At 39.3% G+C, this 16,536-nt stretch overlaps 1 protein-coding gene and 1 long non-coding RNA gene across 3 annotated transcripts in view; one reads left to right on the forward strand and one right to left on the reverse strand.

Moving 5' to 3' along the window:
• Positions 1 to 11,985, reverse strand: part of LOC102723445 (uncharacterized) — a 45,370-nt gene extending 33,385 nt beyond the window's left edge. For both annotated transcript variants that reach the window (XR_428022.3, XR_942994.2), the window contains exons 1-2: positions 11,639 to 11,985; positions 11,361 to 11,537 (exon numbers count right to left, since the gene is read on the reverse strand). This is a non-coding gene — a long non-coding RNA (uncharacterized LOC102723445). The remainder of the gene's footprint in view (positions 1 to 11,360; positions 11,538 to 11,638) is intronic.
• Positions 7,251 to 16,536, forward strand: part of AKAP7 (A-kinase anchoring protein 7) — a 157,906-nt gene continuing 148,620 nt past the window's right edge. Inside the window, exon 1 of the mRNA XM_017011509.2 lies at positions 7,251 to 7,421. Within this exon, the coding sequence (XP_016866998.1) occupies positions 7,391 to 7,421 (31 nt within the window). The 5' untranslated portion in view covers positions 7,251 to 7,390. The remainder of the gene's footprint in view (positions 7,422 to 16,536) is intronic.

A 16,536-nucleotide genomic window follows, 5' to 3' on the forward strand; every position in this document is an offset into this window, starting at 1 on the left:
AATTCAGGGCAGTAGTCGAAGTTAAAATTTTTGAAGGTCCTTGTGTTATTTGGGGAGAAGGTAAAGACATTAACTTTAGATTTTTTTAAGTATGCCTGTTAATTATTTAGGATAACTCCTTTAAAACAATCAACATAGAGAATATCACTTCCAAATTAGAAGAGGAGAAAAAATGGAATGAAGGGGTTGCAGGGGGGACGCAATCAATCCAAAATAAGTCAAATACATTGGAGAGGGGTCAACAAACAAGAGCCCAGTAATTGTGGAGAGTACACCAGAGGCCAGGGTTGAGGGATATAAAGTGCTAAGCCCTCCAGACAGTGGAATGAAGCCAATGATGCGTTTCTTCCTTTTGTCCGATTACATCAAGGTCTTGGGGGCAAACACTTTGAGATTCAACCCTGGGATCTATGAAAGTCACATTTCCACAGAGAAAATGAGGCAAATATTGATTAAGAAAAAAGAGAAGGCTGGGAATGGTGGCTTACACCTGTAATCCCAGCACTTTGGGAGGCCGAGACGGGTGGATCACCTGAGATCAGGAGTTCGAGACCAGCCTGGCCAACATGGCAAAACTCTGTCTCTACTAAAACTATAAAAAATTAGCTAGGTGTGGTGCACACACTTGTAGTCCCAGCTACTCTGGAGGCCGAGACACGAGAATCCCTTGAACCCAGGAGGCAAAGGTTGCAGTGAGCCAAAATTGTGCCACTGCACTCCAGCCTGGGCAACAGAGCCAGACTGTGTCTCAAAAAAAAAAAAAAGAAAAAAGAAAAAAAAAAAGAAGTGTAGTTTCTTCAAGGCTTTGGTCAGGAAATTGCTAGAAAATCAATTAATTTTTTTAATTATCTGGAAATTTCCTGGATTTGCTACTTCACATTTTTAGCACAGATGAAATGAGGCCTCGGTGTGTGAACATGGATCAGTCAATTCATCATTTATTTTGGAAAAAAAATCAAATCTGTCCTATGTGCTAAGCAAAGTGTTAGACTCCCTTAAAGTGTTAACTATCTCGTAAGAGAATTATTTATAATGAAAGCTAAAATATTTTAATCACCCCAAAAGAGGTAAAAATAAAGCAGAGGAAGTTTTCAGAGTAGAAAGTATCCTTATTTGGTTGGAAAGATCAGATGAAGGGGATATATGAGATGGTCATAAAAGGAAAGACTGAAACTTTTCCTTCAGGTGATACAGAAGGCATTTTAGGTGAAGTGAGTATCATACACTACAATATAGTTGTTGGACATCGTTTTCAAAGATAGTTAGGGAACAAAAAATTATTAATTTGATCCATTTGAAAGATGTTAGAGAATAATTATCAATGAGAAAAAAAAAGTGTGTAGAAATGAATTGTGGCAGGCCTCAGATCCACAGCTGAAGAGCTCATACTTAATTTTACAGGAAACTGTAATAGTATGGGAGGCCTGCCTCTAAAGCTTTTCACAGATAGAAATCCGGCTTTCAAAGTGATACCCTTAACCACTTCGCCATGCTGCCCCTTGAACAAATGATGCCTATTTACAAGACACAGTGAGTTTTTGGGAATTTATTAGGCATTTGATAAATATTTGACCAATAGAAAAATGTCAGCACTGCTGATGATTTAGAAAACATCAAGTAAATAATAAACCCAGTGTAGTAAGGGCTTTGGGGAAGCAGATGCTTTTTATGCTACTTATTATTCTTAAAAAATACAATAAAATAAAATAAAGTAAAAAAATAAAAGTTTCAGGGCCCTGATGAGGTCTACTTGGTAAGTGGAGCGCCTGAGGAAGCCTGTAGCTTCAATCATGTATGGTAACCGGGTGGCTGAGCACCAATCTGGGTTGTGAGGAAATAGGGGAGAGGTATGCTGGGCCACATCCCAGCCTAACACGTGTGAGATTCCTTTTAGGAACTAACCTCATTAGCTACAAGGGTCATGCAGAGGCAGCAAAGCCTGGTGCGATGAGCTCAGCCTTCACTCATTCATGAACACCATCACTCTTTTATTCAAATCTGTATATGGCTTTTTTGCTTTTTTTTTTTTTGAGACAGAGTCTCACTCTGTCGCCAGGCTGGAGAGCAGTGGCGTGATCTCGGTTCACTACAACCTCCACCTCCTGGGTTCAACAATTCTCCTGCCTCAGCCTCCTGAGTAGCTGGGATTACAGGCATGTGCCACCATGCCAGGCAAATTTTTGTATTTTTAGTAGAGACGGGTTTTCACCATGTTGGCCAGGATGGTCTCGATCTCTGGACCTCATGATCCACCCACCTTGGCCTCCCAAAGTGCTGGGATTATAGGCATGAGCCACCGTGCCCAGCCAGCTTTTTTGTTTTAAAAGTTAAATCCATTCTAATTACCCAAGCAATGCATGAATTCATTATCCTTTTGAGAAACTAGGTTGTTATAAAGATACTGTCATTCAGCTACCAACCACTCCCCATTCCTGTCCCTTCCCCTCTTAATGGCTGTTATGTTTGTTATACTTCCATTTAGACTTTAATATTTTTACATACATATATGAACTCATTGGAAATAGTGTGTTTAATGCAAATGGTATATTGAATTGTTTAGCAATTTGTTTGCTTTGCTTAATGATGTTTTTGAGATCTGTGCATGTTAGTTAATGTAGATCAGTCCATCCTCTGTAATTGCTGTATAGATTGTCATCATATGACTACCATATTTTACCTACGCAAAAAAAAAACCAACAAAAATAAACAAACAAAAAACCCCCAAAACCCCATAAAATGGAACATTCCTCTTAATTTGATAAATTTACTTTTGGTATATGGATCAAGAAAATGATACAAATGAAAGAGAAAAAAATCCAAGGATATTTGTAAGTGGATTCTACTGGAAATGCTCAAGATTTGGGGACTGGTTAAACAAATGATTGCATATTAACACAATAAGGCATTATAATATAATACAAATTATTATATATATAAAATACCTATTTGAGAGAGATATTTGAAAGATATTAATTAAAAGTGGCATAGTATTATATATGGTTTATATATATATAAATTATGTCTATAAAATTTACTGTTACTCTGAAGTGATAAAAGAATGAAAAAAATCAGAGGACCTTGGGTAATTAATATTTTCTTTCTTTTTTTTTTTTTTGAAATAGAGTCTTACTCTGTCACTTGGGCTGGAGTGCCGTGGCTCAACCATAGTTCACTGCAGCCTCCACCTCCCTGGGCTCAGGAGATTCTCCCACCTCGGCCTCCTAAGTAGCTGGGACTACAGGTGCACACCACCACGCCTGGCTAATTTTTGCACTTTTTGTAGAGATGGGATTTGTCATGTTGCCCAGGCTGGTCTTGAACCCCTGGGCTCAAGGGATCCACTTGCCTTTGCCCCTCAAAGTGCTAGGATTACAGGCATGAGCCACCATGCCTGCCTTGTAGCTAATACTTTATAGTAAAGGAATTTTTGCAGTTTGGTTGGCTATAATTATTTTGTCTTTCACTATATTACTAGATCAATCAATAGACAATGAAGATATTTGCCGTTTGAAACCACACAATATTTAGACAAAGAGCTTTTAGTTGGACCATGTATTCAAATAGATGACCATCTGTAAGGAAATATTTTACTGTGTAAGGGAAAATAGACTCAAATTTCCTCCCACTCTGATTCTATTTCTCTCTAGTACTCTTAAAGTTTTACTACTTTTTCCACTTCTTGTATCTTCTAATTCTTACAATATTCAAAGAAAACCTCATAGTGTAATTGTCAATTATACTCTAATTGGAATGCAAATAAGATTAGCATTGCCAGTTAAGGCTTGTATGATGCCTGTTTTAAATATCAATTGCACAACTAAAAAACGAGGAATACTTATGCCAAATAAGCAATGAGATGACTAAGTTGAATAAGATGTAAAATCTGCTAGCCCAGATATTAATATCCTATTACTATAATCTATGTTAATATCTTCCTGAAAAAACAATTGTAACACACATTTTAGAATGAACAATGAGAAGTTTGAACATAAACTGCATCAATAATTTCCGGCACGTTAGGAAGATAATGAAACCAACAAATAGTAATATAGAGCCCTGATGACCCAGAAAGTGAAATTTGATATCGCTCTTAATATTTTCCTTTTAGTATTCAGAAAATCTTACCAGGGAATAACAACAACAAATCATCAATGAAGAATGGTCTATTGGAATGTATAATGATGGTTTATATGATGTATATGATACCAAAAATAGTCAGCAAAACACAGTTTCAAACTAAGAAATCTTGTGAAATAAACTATCAAAGAAGAAACTAATCCCTAGCACTAATCAAATTCAGGAAGCCTAATTAGAGCTGTTAAGCCTAATCTGCCAATCTGGCATTTGCTCAAAATGTGGTCAGGAACACTAACTACTTCAGTGTATAAAAATAGAGATTATCTCAAAATCCACAATATAAGACATCATTATCTTCTGAGTAAATAATACAAGCTAGAGTATACCTCGTAATAAGTAAATGATCTCTTTTATTTTAACTGAAGAAAAAGAATCAATGTTCTGGATGTAAATGTCCTCAACAGTGTTTATTTCTTATTCTTGGCCAGAAAAGAAGAAATGCATTAAGTATGTAATAATTCAGGCAGCTGACAAAATGTAAAAAAAAAAAATTCAGATTCTAATCGCAAAGATAGTGAAGGTCTTCCGTCTGCAGCCCTCTAATTTTCTAACTTTATATACCCTCTCTCGGTGACCTCATCCACATCCATAGTTTCAATGATCACTTGTACACCTATAACTTCCAAATTGCCAAGAGTCCTTCCTCAGTGTCTTCCTCTCCTCCCAGCAAATGACTTCACTTATTTCCATCAAGCAAATTGACATCTTTAGAAAGTAGTTCCCTTAATCACGACCCATCCAAATACTTACCAGGACCCATCTTTCCTTAACTTGCTTCCATCCTGTGTGAGATCACTGCCTTCATTTGAACAGACTCTATAGCTCTCACCCCCATTATTCAGTTTTGGTTTTTTTGGTTTTTTTTTTGACAGAATCTCACTTCATCACCCAGGCTGGTGTATAGTGGTGCGATCTCAGCTCACTACAACCTCTACTTCCTGGGTTCAAGCAATTCTCCTGCCTCAGCCTCTCAAGCAGCCAGGACTACAGGTGCGTGCCACCATGCCTGGTGGAGTTTTTAGTAGAGATGGGGTTTCACCATGTTGGTTAGGCTGGTCTCGAACTCCCGACTTTGAATGATCCACCCGCCTCGGCCTCCCAAAGTGCTGGGATTATAGGCATGAGCCACCGCGCCCAGCCAGTGTTTTTCCTTTTCTGTCTCTCTTTACTGGTTCCTTTTTAGGATTTAAATAGAATTTAGCTCAATGTCACTCCCACCTCTGAAGATCTAGTTAAAGGGACTCAAATTCTGATGGCATGTGAAAGTCTAGCCCCTCCCTAAGATTTCTGCCAATTCTTAGGGGTTTATAATCACAGGACTCTTTCAGCCTCTAGGCACAGGGGGTCCTCGTGTGCTCTGTGTTTCTCAGCCATCTCCTTGGTTTCCAGAACAAAATCATTCACAACTAAGAGTGGTGAACTTAATTATTGACTTTATTGAAGGTATGTGAGATCCAGGGAAGGATCCCACTCCTCAGCACACACTGTCCGCCATCCTGCTCACTCCGCTCTCACCCCTCTCTCCATTCTTCCACTCCTCATCCTCTTTGTTCTGGGCTTCTCTGGGAATACCCAATTCACTCTGCTTCTAATGTTCTGGCATCAGCCAACTCTTTCTCTTTCTCCACATTATCAATTGCTGAGTTTCACTTACTATTGTCTTGCAAACTCTTAACTCTATCACTTTTATTTCATTTCTAGGCCAACACTGTTGTTTAGATTTCTGTCCCTTATACTTGGATTATTGTAGTATGGCAGTGAACTAACTGGGCTTGGGGCTTTGATTCTCTGTCCCCTCCAATAAATCCTGCACAGACCTGAAAGATGTGTCTTTCCAGAGTTATCCTTCATCATGTCAGTTCCAAGGTCAGAGTTCTTGAACAAATTCCAATTCTGATGTAATAAAGTCCCATTTGCCTAGCCTGGCATTTAAGACTTTCCATAATCTGGTCCCAACCAAATTTTCCAGCCTTGTCTCCCAGTCCTCCGTCACTCAAACCAGCCAAACTGGTAGACCCACTCTCTTTAGCATCTACCTGCACAGTCCTGTCTTCACAACCCTGGAATGTATTGTGCCCTTAATCCACTCATTTTCAAATCTGGTCTTAAATACTACCTCCCCTTCCAAGCCCTTCCTGGCTCTCTAACTGAGGGGTTTCCTGGGATATGGGACGTTCAGTGCTAAAACTGAACAGTCCTGGGCAAACCAGGACAGCTGGTCACTCTGCCTGTGATATATTCAGCAAAAGTCCTGAGGGAGAACAGGGAGGCAGTGCTTTCTCGTGGTTGCCTACTGTGGAAATTCAAAATTTTTGTGGCAGAATTGGCTACAGAAAACTCAAATGAGGGAAAAGGAAGGTGAATGAGAACACTTGTTCCACCTAATAATAGGCCCAGGCTGAGACCTTAATAAACTAACTGACTTCCTTTCTTCCTTCCTTCCTTCCTTCCTTCCTTCCTTCCTTCCTTCCTTCCTTCCTTCTTTAGTTCCTTCCTTCCTTTCTTCTTTCCCTCCCTCCCTCCTTCCCTCCCTCCCTCCCTCTCTCTCTTTCTTTCTTCTTTCCTTCTTTCTTTTGAATTAAGAAGAGCAAGGATGAATAAAAAGGTGCATTTCAAGTAAAGGAGTTTTTAATAAGGATCTAAGTGGGTGGGAAACGTACAGATCTTAGGAGTGAGAGGAAAATCTAGATAGGTAAACAACATTTTCCTTTTACTGTTACTTTGGAAATAACCAGAATCAGAGCTGGTCACTATTAGGAAAAATAAATGAACACCAAAAGTTGAGGCCAAACTTTCTGGAGGATTTTCATGCCAAGTTGAAATTCAAGATGAGTTATAAAAGTTTGGTACAACAACAGCCGATTAAGCAGTCAGGGAATTGTGTTAGAGATTTGTAACATGCACATGTTATATTGTTTGAGAACATTAAGATCTGTTATAGAAGAAAACTGAAATTAATGAACTAAGATGTGTTACACATAGATAACTGGTTAGTAAGTAAAGTATGTATGTATATGTTAAATGTAGATGCATGTTAAAAGGGATGGAATGATAAAGAAATGCCTAATAATCATGAGTCATTGCATATATATGAGGCCCCTGTGGCCAGATGTACTTGTCCTTGCATCCTTCCAATACAGCAAGTGGCTTAGGCAGCCTTAAATATATGGAACCCTTTGTTCAAACCTGAATTCTGGTCCTTGTAACCACACCACCAGCAGGGAAGGCTAATGAAGCAGCAGAGGGAGACAAGATGGATGAATATGGAGTTCCTCAGGATTCAGGTAGTGTGGCCCATTCATGCCACGAACATCCAATCCTAAGTATATTAATGTATGCTGCTTGTTTCCCCCTTTTCTCGCTATGTGTTTTAAGTTGATTTAATAAACTGTTGATGTGAACAGTTTAATTTGGTCTTGAAGTCTTTCATTTCCATGATCTCTGTGATAGCTTGTCTGGCAGTGGACTTGGAGGCTATGTGGCATTAGGATAATTTTCTACATGACATGATTTTAGAAAAATGTTCTGTCTGCCATGAAGGTGTCCTCTCTCCAATTGGCATTGTGTTATTAAATAAGTAGTCACTTTAATAAATAAGTTATATTTCTGGACAAATTTGAGGCTTGAGATCATTTATAATAATTTATCTTGGTAAACACATTTATGGCTTATTTTTGGTTGCTCAGATTATTTACATGTGACAATACTGTAATTGAATATGCTGGCTGTCTTTTCTTTCTTGCTTACTTTTTTCTTTTTCCTTTTATTGAAAATAGGCAGGGTACCAAGAATTACTAATTACAATATTCCTTCATTTCATGGGTAATGCTTGAGGAATGAATTAGCGATGCAAATGTTGAGTCGATATCCACAAATGTAACAAGTTTATGATGCTAGAAGTAAATGTCCACAGGTATTATTAGATTTATGAGCAGGCAAAAACAACAGCCAAAAGGCCTTCAAACCTCCAAAATCTCCATCCTTGGCTTCCATTAGAGTTGACTCTTTAAGATTAGGTTCAATCTCTAGAAAGTTCATTAAATAACTAACTCAATAAACATTTATTTAGAAACTCCTGCATACTAGACTTTGGATGGAGACTATAAAATCCCTGCCCTCATGGAGAAGCAGGGGAAAGAAGCAGCATACATTAATATACTTAGAATTAAATGCTCGTGGCGTGAATGGGCCACACTACCTGAATCCTAGGGAACTCCATATTCATGCGTCTTGTCTCCCTCTGCTGCTCCATTAGCCTTCCCTGCTCATGGTGTGGTTACAAGGACCAGAACTGAGGTTTGAACAAAGAGAAATCGGAGTAATTTAATGGCTAAGTGGCTGCCTGCATATCAGGTGTACAGAGTGTTTTCCTGCCATTATTTTTGCCAAAATAATTCACTGGGACTTAGTACATGAGCATAGTTTAGTTTGTGAGATTGACTGATGAAAAGTATGACCTGAGAAAAAGAGACAGGGCAGGTAGATTTGTGGGGAAAATAGACCTGGAAGTTCTTTTGTTTCATTTTGCTTTGTTTTTTTTTTGTTTTTTTGAGACAGAGTCTGGCTCTGTCTCCCAGGCTGGAGTGCAGTGGCGCGATCTCGGCTCACTGTAACCTCTGCCTCCTGGATGCAAGCGATTTTCCTGCCTTAGCCTCCTGAGTAGCTGGGATTACAGGCATATGCTACCATGACCGGTTAATTTTTTTGTATTTTTAGTAGAGATGTTGGCCAGGCTGGTCTCTAACTCCTGACCTCAAGTCATCTGCCCACCTTGGCCTCCCAAAGTGCTGGGATTACATGCCTAAGCCACTGCATCTGGTCCCAGACCTTGAAGTCCTTGACCATAGGTTGTATGTCATGATGGCACTTGGACATTTGATTTCTTTAGAGAAAAAGTCCCTATCTCATAAGATACAACCAAATAAGTTCAGAAGTAAAGAAGTAGAAGCCACTATAAACAATCCATAGAGGAAAGGAAACATTTAAATGAAAGGGAATGAAAGGAAAACATTTAAATCATTAGAGCAAAGAAATAAAACCACTAAGGAAAATTAATACATAAGACTACATACAAATTTTCAAATTCTGCACATTATAAACTTCTATATACGAATTAAAATACAAATAACAAACTAGGGGAAATGTTTTCAGTATATATGACAAAGTATTTAAAGTAATCGATTTTCATTCTACCAGAAAGACATGCACACATATATATTCATTGCAGCACTATTCACAATAGCAAAGACATAGAATCACCCTAAATGCCCATCAACAGTAGACTGCATAAAGAAAATATAGTACCTATACACCATGGAATACTATGCAACCATAATAAAGAATGAAATCATGTCCTTTGCAGGAATATGGATGGAGCTGGAGGCCATTATCCTTAGCAAACTAACACAGGAACAGAAAACCAAATACTGCATGTTCTCACTTGTAAGTGGGAGCTAAATAATGAGAACAAGTGGACACAAAGAAGGAAACAACAGACACTGGGGACTATTTGAGTGTGGAGGGTGGACGCAGGGAGAGGATCGGAAAAAGTAACTAGCCTCCTATCAAGGTGGCAAAATTATATGTACACCAAGCTCCCGTGACATGCGTTTACCTATATAAAAACCTGCACATGTACCCCTGAACCTAAAATAAAAGTTAAAAATATAATAAAATAATGGATTTTATAAAGTAGTAGAAAAAGGTAAACGATTTAGAAGAAAAATAAGCAGAAGCTTTTTATAAAGAGAGGTGTGCAAGTGGTTACGAAACACATGAAATAATATGCAGATTTATTAATAATAAAAGAAATAAGAGGTAAAATAACAGCCATTTGAACATTGTAAATAGAAAATGAGGGTTAGTGGGATGGATAATAAACTTTCATGAACTGCTTATAAGCATATAGATTTGCATGAAGTTTTTGGTGGATAATTTGGCAACACATTTCAAAAGGCTTGTAATAATTTAGAATCTATTACCTATCACACCTCCTTCTGGGAATTTATTTTAAATAAATAATTTAAGGCTGGGTGTGGTGGCTCACATCTGTAAATCCCAGAGCTTTGGGAGGCCAAGGCAGGCGGATCCCCTGAGGTCAGAAGTTTGAGATCAGCCTGGCTAACATGGCGAAACCCCATCTCTACTAAGAATACAAAATTAGCCAGGCGTGGTGGCGTGTGCCTGTAATCCCAGCTACTCAGGAAGCTGAGGCAGGAGACTCATTTGAACCCAGGAGATGGAGGTTGCAGTGAGCTGAGATCATGCCATTGCACTCCAACCTGGGCAAAAAGAGTGAAACTCCATCTCAAAAAAAAAAAAAAAAGGAAATAATTAAAAAATTTAAACTAATTACAGAAAAATGTACTTATCATAGAATTATTTTTAACACAGAAAAACTGAGATGAATTTAAATGAGGTTGAACAATGACATTGGCAATTGGTCAAATACATTATGATATATTTATATAAGGATATAATATGCATGATTGAGCTGGGTGCGGTGGCTCACGCCTGTAATCCCAGCACTTTGGGAGGCCGAGGTGGGTGGATCACTTGAGGTCAGGAGTTCGGGACCAGCCTAGCCAACATGGTGAAATTTGGTCTCTACTAAAAATACAAAAATTAGCCAGGTGTGGTGTCAGGTGACTGTAGTCCCAGCTACCAGGGAGGCTGAGGCAGGAGAATTGCTTGAACCCGAGAGGCGGAAGTTGCAGTGAGCCAAGATCATGCCACTGCACTCTAGCCTGGGTGACAGAGCAAGACTCTGTCAAAAAAAAAAAAAAATGCATGATTGAAAGAATAATATAAAATATAGAAGAATGCTTAATGACATGAGAAATTAGTCACAATATCTTGTAAAAGACAAAAGTAGCTTATGATGCCATAATGTGACATGATTTCATTTTTATAAAATATATGCTGCAGGAGTATGTGTTTATATGTGTATGTATATCTATGTCTAAAAAGATACAATTATAGATAATTTTACATTTTATTCCATAAGTTTTTCTGAATTTAAAAATATCATAAAACAACATGTTACTTACATAAAATTTTAGATTTGTAGTTAGAAATATTTAAAATAATTTAAAATGTTGCATTCTGTTATTAAATATTATCAGGCCCTTCAACTGTGTCTGACTACTGAAATAAGTCTATTATTAAATAGGTGTAGTGCTTTCTTAAAAATATTATACTCAAACATTAATTGAAAAGCTTACATGTTAAACACATATTCTTCTTCCAGCAAAATGAAATGTCACCCCGAGTTACCTTGGGTCACCAAGGGTCCCAGTTAGCTTTGTACTGATATTTGGCCGTGTCTTGTAGAACTGCATGATGTCATCCTTTTTTGTAACCATTTGCAACTTTAGTTTCTATGGGGACCAAGGAACATCCTAGGGCAAGAATTAAAACAGAGTCAATTGTTTTGGTAGAAATTCACTAGGTCAGGACCGTATCACAGAAGAGAAATGAGGGACCTGAAGAGAGAACTCACCATAAAGAAAGGAGTCGGGCAGGGTGAATGAGTCAATTTAGTAGTAGTTCCTGAAAGTCAGAAATGGGTCATGTTTCAGGAACAGTGTGGCAATCTGAACCTGAACACTTCCCATCCAATTATTTCAGCAATCATTGTACCTTGCCCTCTGGGGGAAATGGGGCAGTGTCTGTAAAGAAACTTGCTGTATCTCAAGGAATTCTGTAATTCTTATAGGTCCCAAAAATCTTCTGTGATGCAGCTCAACCTGCTCTACTCTTAGCAGAGTGTAATGTGTAGGGAGAAGTTGTTCTTTTCTCTTTTTTTGAGATGGAGTTTCACTCTTGTTGCCCAGGCACAATCTTGGCTCACTGCACCTCTGCAACCTCTGCCTCCTGAGTTCGAGCGATTCTCTGCTCCAGCCTCCTGAGTAGCTGGAATTACAGGCATGTGCCGCCACGCCTGGCTAATTTTGTATTGTTAGTAGAGACAGGGTTTTGCCATGTTGGTCAGGCTGGTATCAAACTCCTGACCTCAGGTTGTCCACCCGCTTCGGCCTTCCAAAGTGCTGGGATTACAAGCGTGAGCCACTGTGCCCAGCTGACCTTGTTCTTTTCATTTGCAAGAGATGTCACCATGAAGACTGGGAGAATCCACTGTGGCCAGGTGAATTAGCAGGCAGCTGATGTGCGCGAGGGCAGAGGACTTTCCGGAGTCAAGATTGGACAAATGGAACTCAGTGAAGCAAGGGCTGGGAACAGGTGGTAGCTTAGAATGATTCATTAGATTAGTTTTGCCAGACACCACTTGGAAACCCAAAAGTATTTTGGAGGAATTTCACAAAGGACTGGCGTCTTGGCATGAGTTGGTAGGTTCATTTAGCTATTAAGATTTAGATGTTAATGTTATACTTGCAGTTGGCTTTGCAGGGAAAAAAAGAAAAAAATAGAAATTAAAAAATTTTTAAAAAAGAAAAAACATTTAGATGTTAAAGTTAATGTTGGCTAATTTTTAGCCTTAAGCTGGAGAAGCTTGTTCAGGCGTGAGCAGGTATATGCAAACCTATCCTGAAGGGTTGTGGGAGCTGAGAGGCTGAAGAAAGTGACTGACAAATCCAGTTTTTCAGAAAGAAATATTTAACAGGGTCTTATGAACCAAAGTGACTCTCCAGAGGCCATGAGATTACACATCCTCGCATCCACCCTCCAGAAAGTATTCTAAGACTTGGGCAGTTGGTCCCATCTCAAACTTATGACCACTGGGGAGGTCAGATAAGCATCTTTATGAGGGGTTGTCTATGCTAGATGCTTGGTTTAAAAACCTTGCTGCAGAACACCTTTGCATGCAGGAGCCAGACATTGCTCTTCATGGAGGTTTTGCTTCAAGATGGCGCCACTCTTGCCACGCAACAGGCTGTTTGCCAACAAAACTGTAGGACATTAAGATTACCCGTGATATTGTTTCTCTTTCTTTCTTTTTTTTTTTTTTTTTGAAATTTATCTGGGAGTGCTGCTTTATTTTTTGACAAATCTGAGTACTTAATGGATCTGGATGCTTATAAAAGTTTTATTCATTCATTGAATGTCTATTCATTGAGAAATCTCTATGCATTTGGGAATACGAAGACTTTAAAACATAGTCTTTGCCTTCTAGTGGCGTAAAGTCTAATGTATGAAACAGAAAAATGTGGCAAAAGGGATGGTCAGAGCGGGCACAAGGAGTATTAAAGCCCTCAGGTGGAGTACCTAACCCAAGTAGAAGGGTGGGGTCAGGGACTGTTCCCCAAAGGAGGTCACTGACAGTTCCTACTGATCTTGACCATAGCTGCGGTCCCCTGTGACAGCAGTAGGACAGTTCAATGTACTGATGTGGGAAACAAACTCTATTTAATAACTGCTAAATGGTGCTGAGAATGAGTTAAGGTTAGAGATAATCGGCAAACTGACATAGAGGCTTAAAAATCTTAAAAATCCCTATAGGATGTTTGGTTATTGACAGAACCAGTTAATATTGAAAATCAATTAAATAGATAAATTCGGCCAGGCGCGGTGGGTCACAACTGTAATCCCAGCACTTTGGGAGGCCGAGGCGGGCGGATCATGAGGTCAGGAGATCGAGACCATCTTGGCTAACATAGTGAAACCCCGTCTCTACTAAAAAATACAAAAAATTAGCCGGGCGTGGTGGCGGGCGCCTGTGGTCCCATCTACTCGGGAAGTAGAGCAGGGAGAATGGCGGGAACCCGGGAGGCGGAGCTTGCAGTGAGCCGAGATTGCGCCACCGCACTCCAGCCTGGGCGACAGAGCGAGATTCCGTCTCAGAAAAAAAAAAAAAAGATGAATTCATAGGTATTAATTTGTTTTATGAAAGCAAAAAAGAACCAGGTTGCCCAATGCTTTAACGAAGGTTCACCTGCAGCACGACTCATGAGGGCATGGATCCTCTGGTCCACACTTCCCTCTCCCTCCGTATGTTCTGCCCATTCCTCCCTGACTATTAGTACACAGCCCTTTTCTCCCCAGAGGACAATATACACTGGCACAGTGCCAAAACAACTGGATTGGAAGGGTTTAGTTTTAAGCTACCACACTGTTCCTGGACCACAACACCCCACCGAGATTTTGAAAAGCCTGAGCCAATTATTTTCTAGAATGTCACACATTCTGGATTGGTCTGATTCTTTCCTCATCATGTTATTTTACTTGTACCTCTATCTCCTGTATTTCTGGAAATCTGAAAATTATATTTAAAGCCTTAGCAGCTTCAGGTGAAATATTTATGGCAAGACTACCTTGCAGTGATGATATAGCTTTCACAGGAGCTTTCACAGATTGTCCACCATTAATGATGCTGAGTTTAATCACGATAAAGGTGGTGACAACCAGGTTTATTTACATGGAGTAAAAATATGTTCTCTCCTGAGCAATTACCAAGTATTTTGTGGGGGGTAGTATTTTGGCAACTTATAAATATTTCGGTCCACATTAACCTTTCATGTAATGGTTTTAGAATATATTGATGATCTTTGCATCAATCAGTTATCAGTTGTGGTGGCAAAATGGTAATTTTCCAATTATTTTATGTCTCCTATATTTATTATTGAAAATTCTTCTGTGCAAAGCAGCTTTCCCATACTACTACTTCTAAAAAGTCATGGTAAATCTTTCTTTCCCTTTAATTTTTAGAGTAAGGAGACTAAGGAATTGCGTACTTGTCACCTTTAATGGTGGCCTACTAGTTTTTCTTCCTCATTTTTTGAGTATTATTATGGGTATATAGATTTTGTATTCAGTATGTTACAATAATTACAGGTGTTATCCTTTTATGATGTCAGATTATCTCCCATTTGCTCAAAGAAAGCTGTTTCTCGCTAGTCCTTGTGTTTTTGATAGTCCCCATTTGTCTTTGCTTTTTGGCACAAGAAGATGTCCAAGGTTCACCTTGTACTTCCCTTTCTCCCTGTCATTTCTAAAAGAAGCTCTGTGAAAAATTCCTTTTTCAGACTTGGGTAATTAAAATGTTCCTCCACATGGTAGGTGTTGATAAGACTCTGTATTCATAATACTGGTGGTGAAAAATATGTGGCATTTGGGCTGTTACCTCTGCTTAGGTAAGAGAATGAAACTTCCATATATCTCTTGGTACACACCACAGGGGAAGAAAAATCTTTCTCCTGCCCATTTAGTTCACTAGGTTGGACTGTGTAAATTAAATTGACAAAAGACAGATTAAGACGAGAAAAGGATTATTACACATGCACATAGATGCTTCACAGGAAAGAACTAAAAGCCCGAAGAGGCAGTTAGAACTGGGGGCTTCTATACCATTTTAACGATGATAAAGTGTGGAGAGGCTAGACAAAGGAAAAGGGGGCTTAGCCTTTTTGCAGTATGGGAAGGTTACTAGAAAATGTATGGGTTTGTTATGCAGGTAAGACTCATTCTCCTCTTTCTGGTATGGGTGAGTGGTAAAGCTTTGTTGTTTGTTTGTTTGTTTGAGACAGGATCTGGCTCTGTTGTCCACACTGGAGTGCAATGGCATCATCTCAGCTCACTGCAACCTCCACCTCCTGGGCTCCAGCGATCCTCCCACCTCAGCCTCTGGAGTAGCTGGGATTACAGGCATGGGTCACCACGTCTGGTTAATTTTTGTATTTTTGGTAGAGACAGGGTTTTGCTATGTTGCCCAGGCTGGTTTCAAACTCCTGGACTCAAGTGATCCACTCGCCTTGACCTCCCAAAGTGTTGGGGTTACAAGCGTGAGCCACTGGGCCCGGCCTGGTAAAGCTTTAAAAATAAAAATTTATGTCACCTTTACGAAGGGAAATTTATGTCCTGCTTTTAGGCAGAAAGGGGGAGGTCAAAGTTGTTCCTGAGTCTTTAGTTTCTGAACTGTTTTAAGCTCAAGAATAATCCTTATGCTGAAGTGGCATATTTGGGGTGGCATATTCTCATCCTCTTCACTATGAATGTGGACCACATTTTTGCAGCTTTTATTTCCGCAGTTACTTATGTTTCTTTCTCTGCTATTATATGATCAGCTCCATAAGTAAAAGACCTGTCTTACCTGCACATCCTCAGCACAGAGCTCAAGCATTAAATAAATATTAGGGGAACTGGTTGTACTTTCCTACCAGCCCATAAATGGGCATCAGAAACTCAACGTGTTAGAATTATTTGAAAATCAGAGTAACTAGTTTGCCGACTTCTAGTGTGCAGCCTTTACGCCAGCTGTTGTGGCTGTGTAGGGGTCTTCTTTTCTTCCATCCCTATTCTACGATGCATTCAACATAAGCGAAGTGTTATTATTCACGAAAGGCGCTAATTTGTGGACGGATGCACCTAATGTTCTTAACCCCTGGTTTCTTCGCACTAAAACCAATCCCAATAGCATTCCGTTTCAAGTGAAAGGTTTTTATT

Source organism: Homo sapiens, chromosome 6 (assembly GCF_000001405.40).
Source record: "Homo sapiens chromosome 6, GRCh38.p14 Primary Assembly".
Classification (NCBI taxonomy): Eukaryota; Metazoa; Chordata; class Mammalia; order Primates; family Hominidae; genus Homo; species Homo sapiens.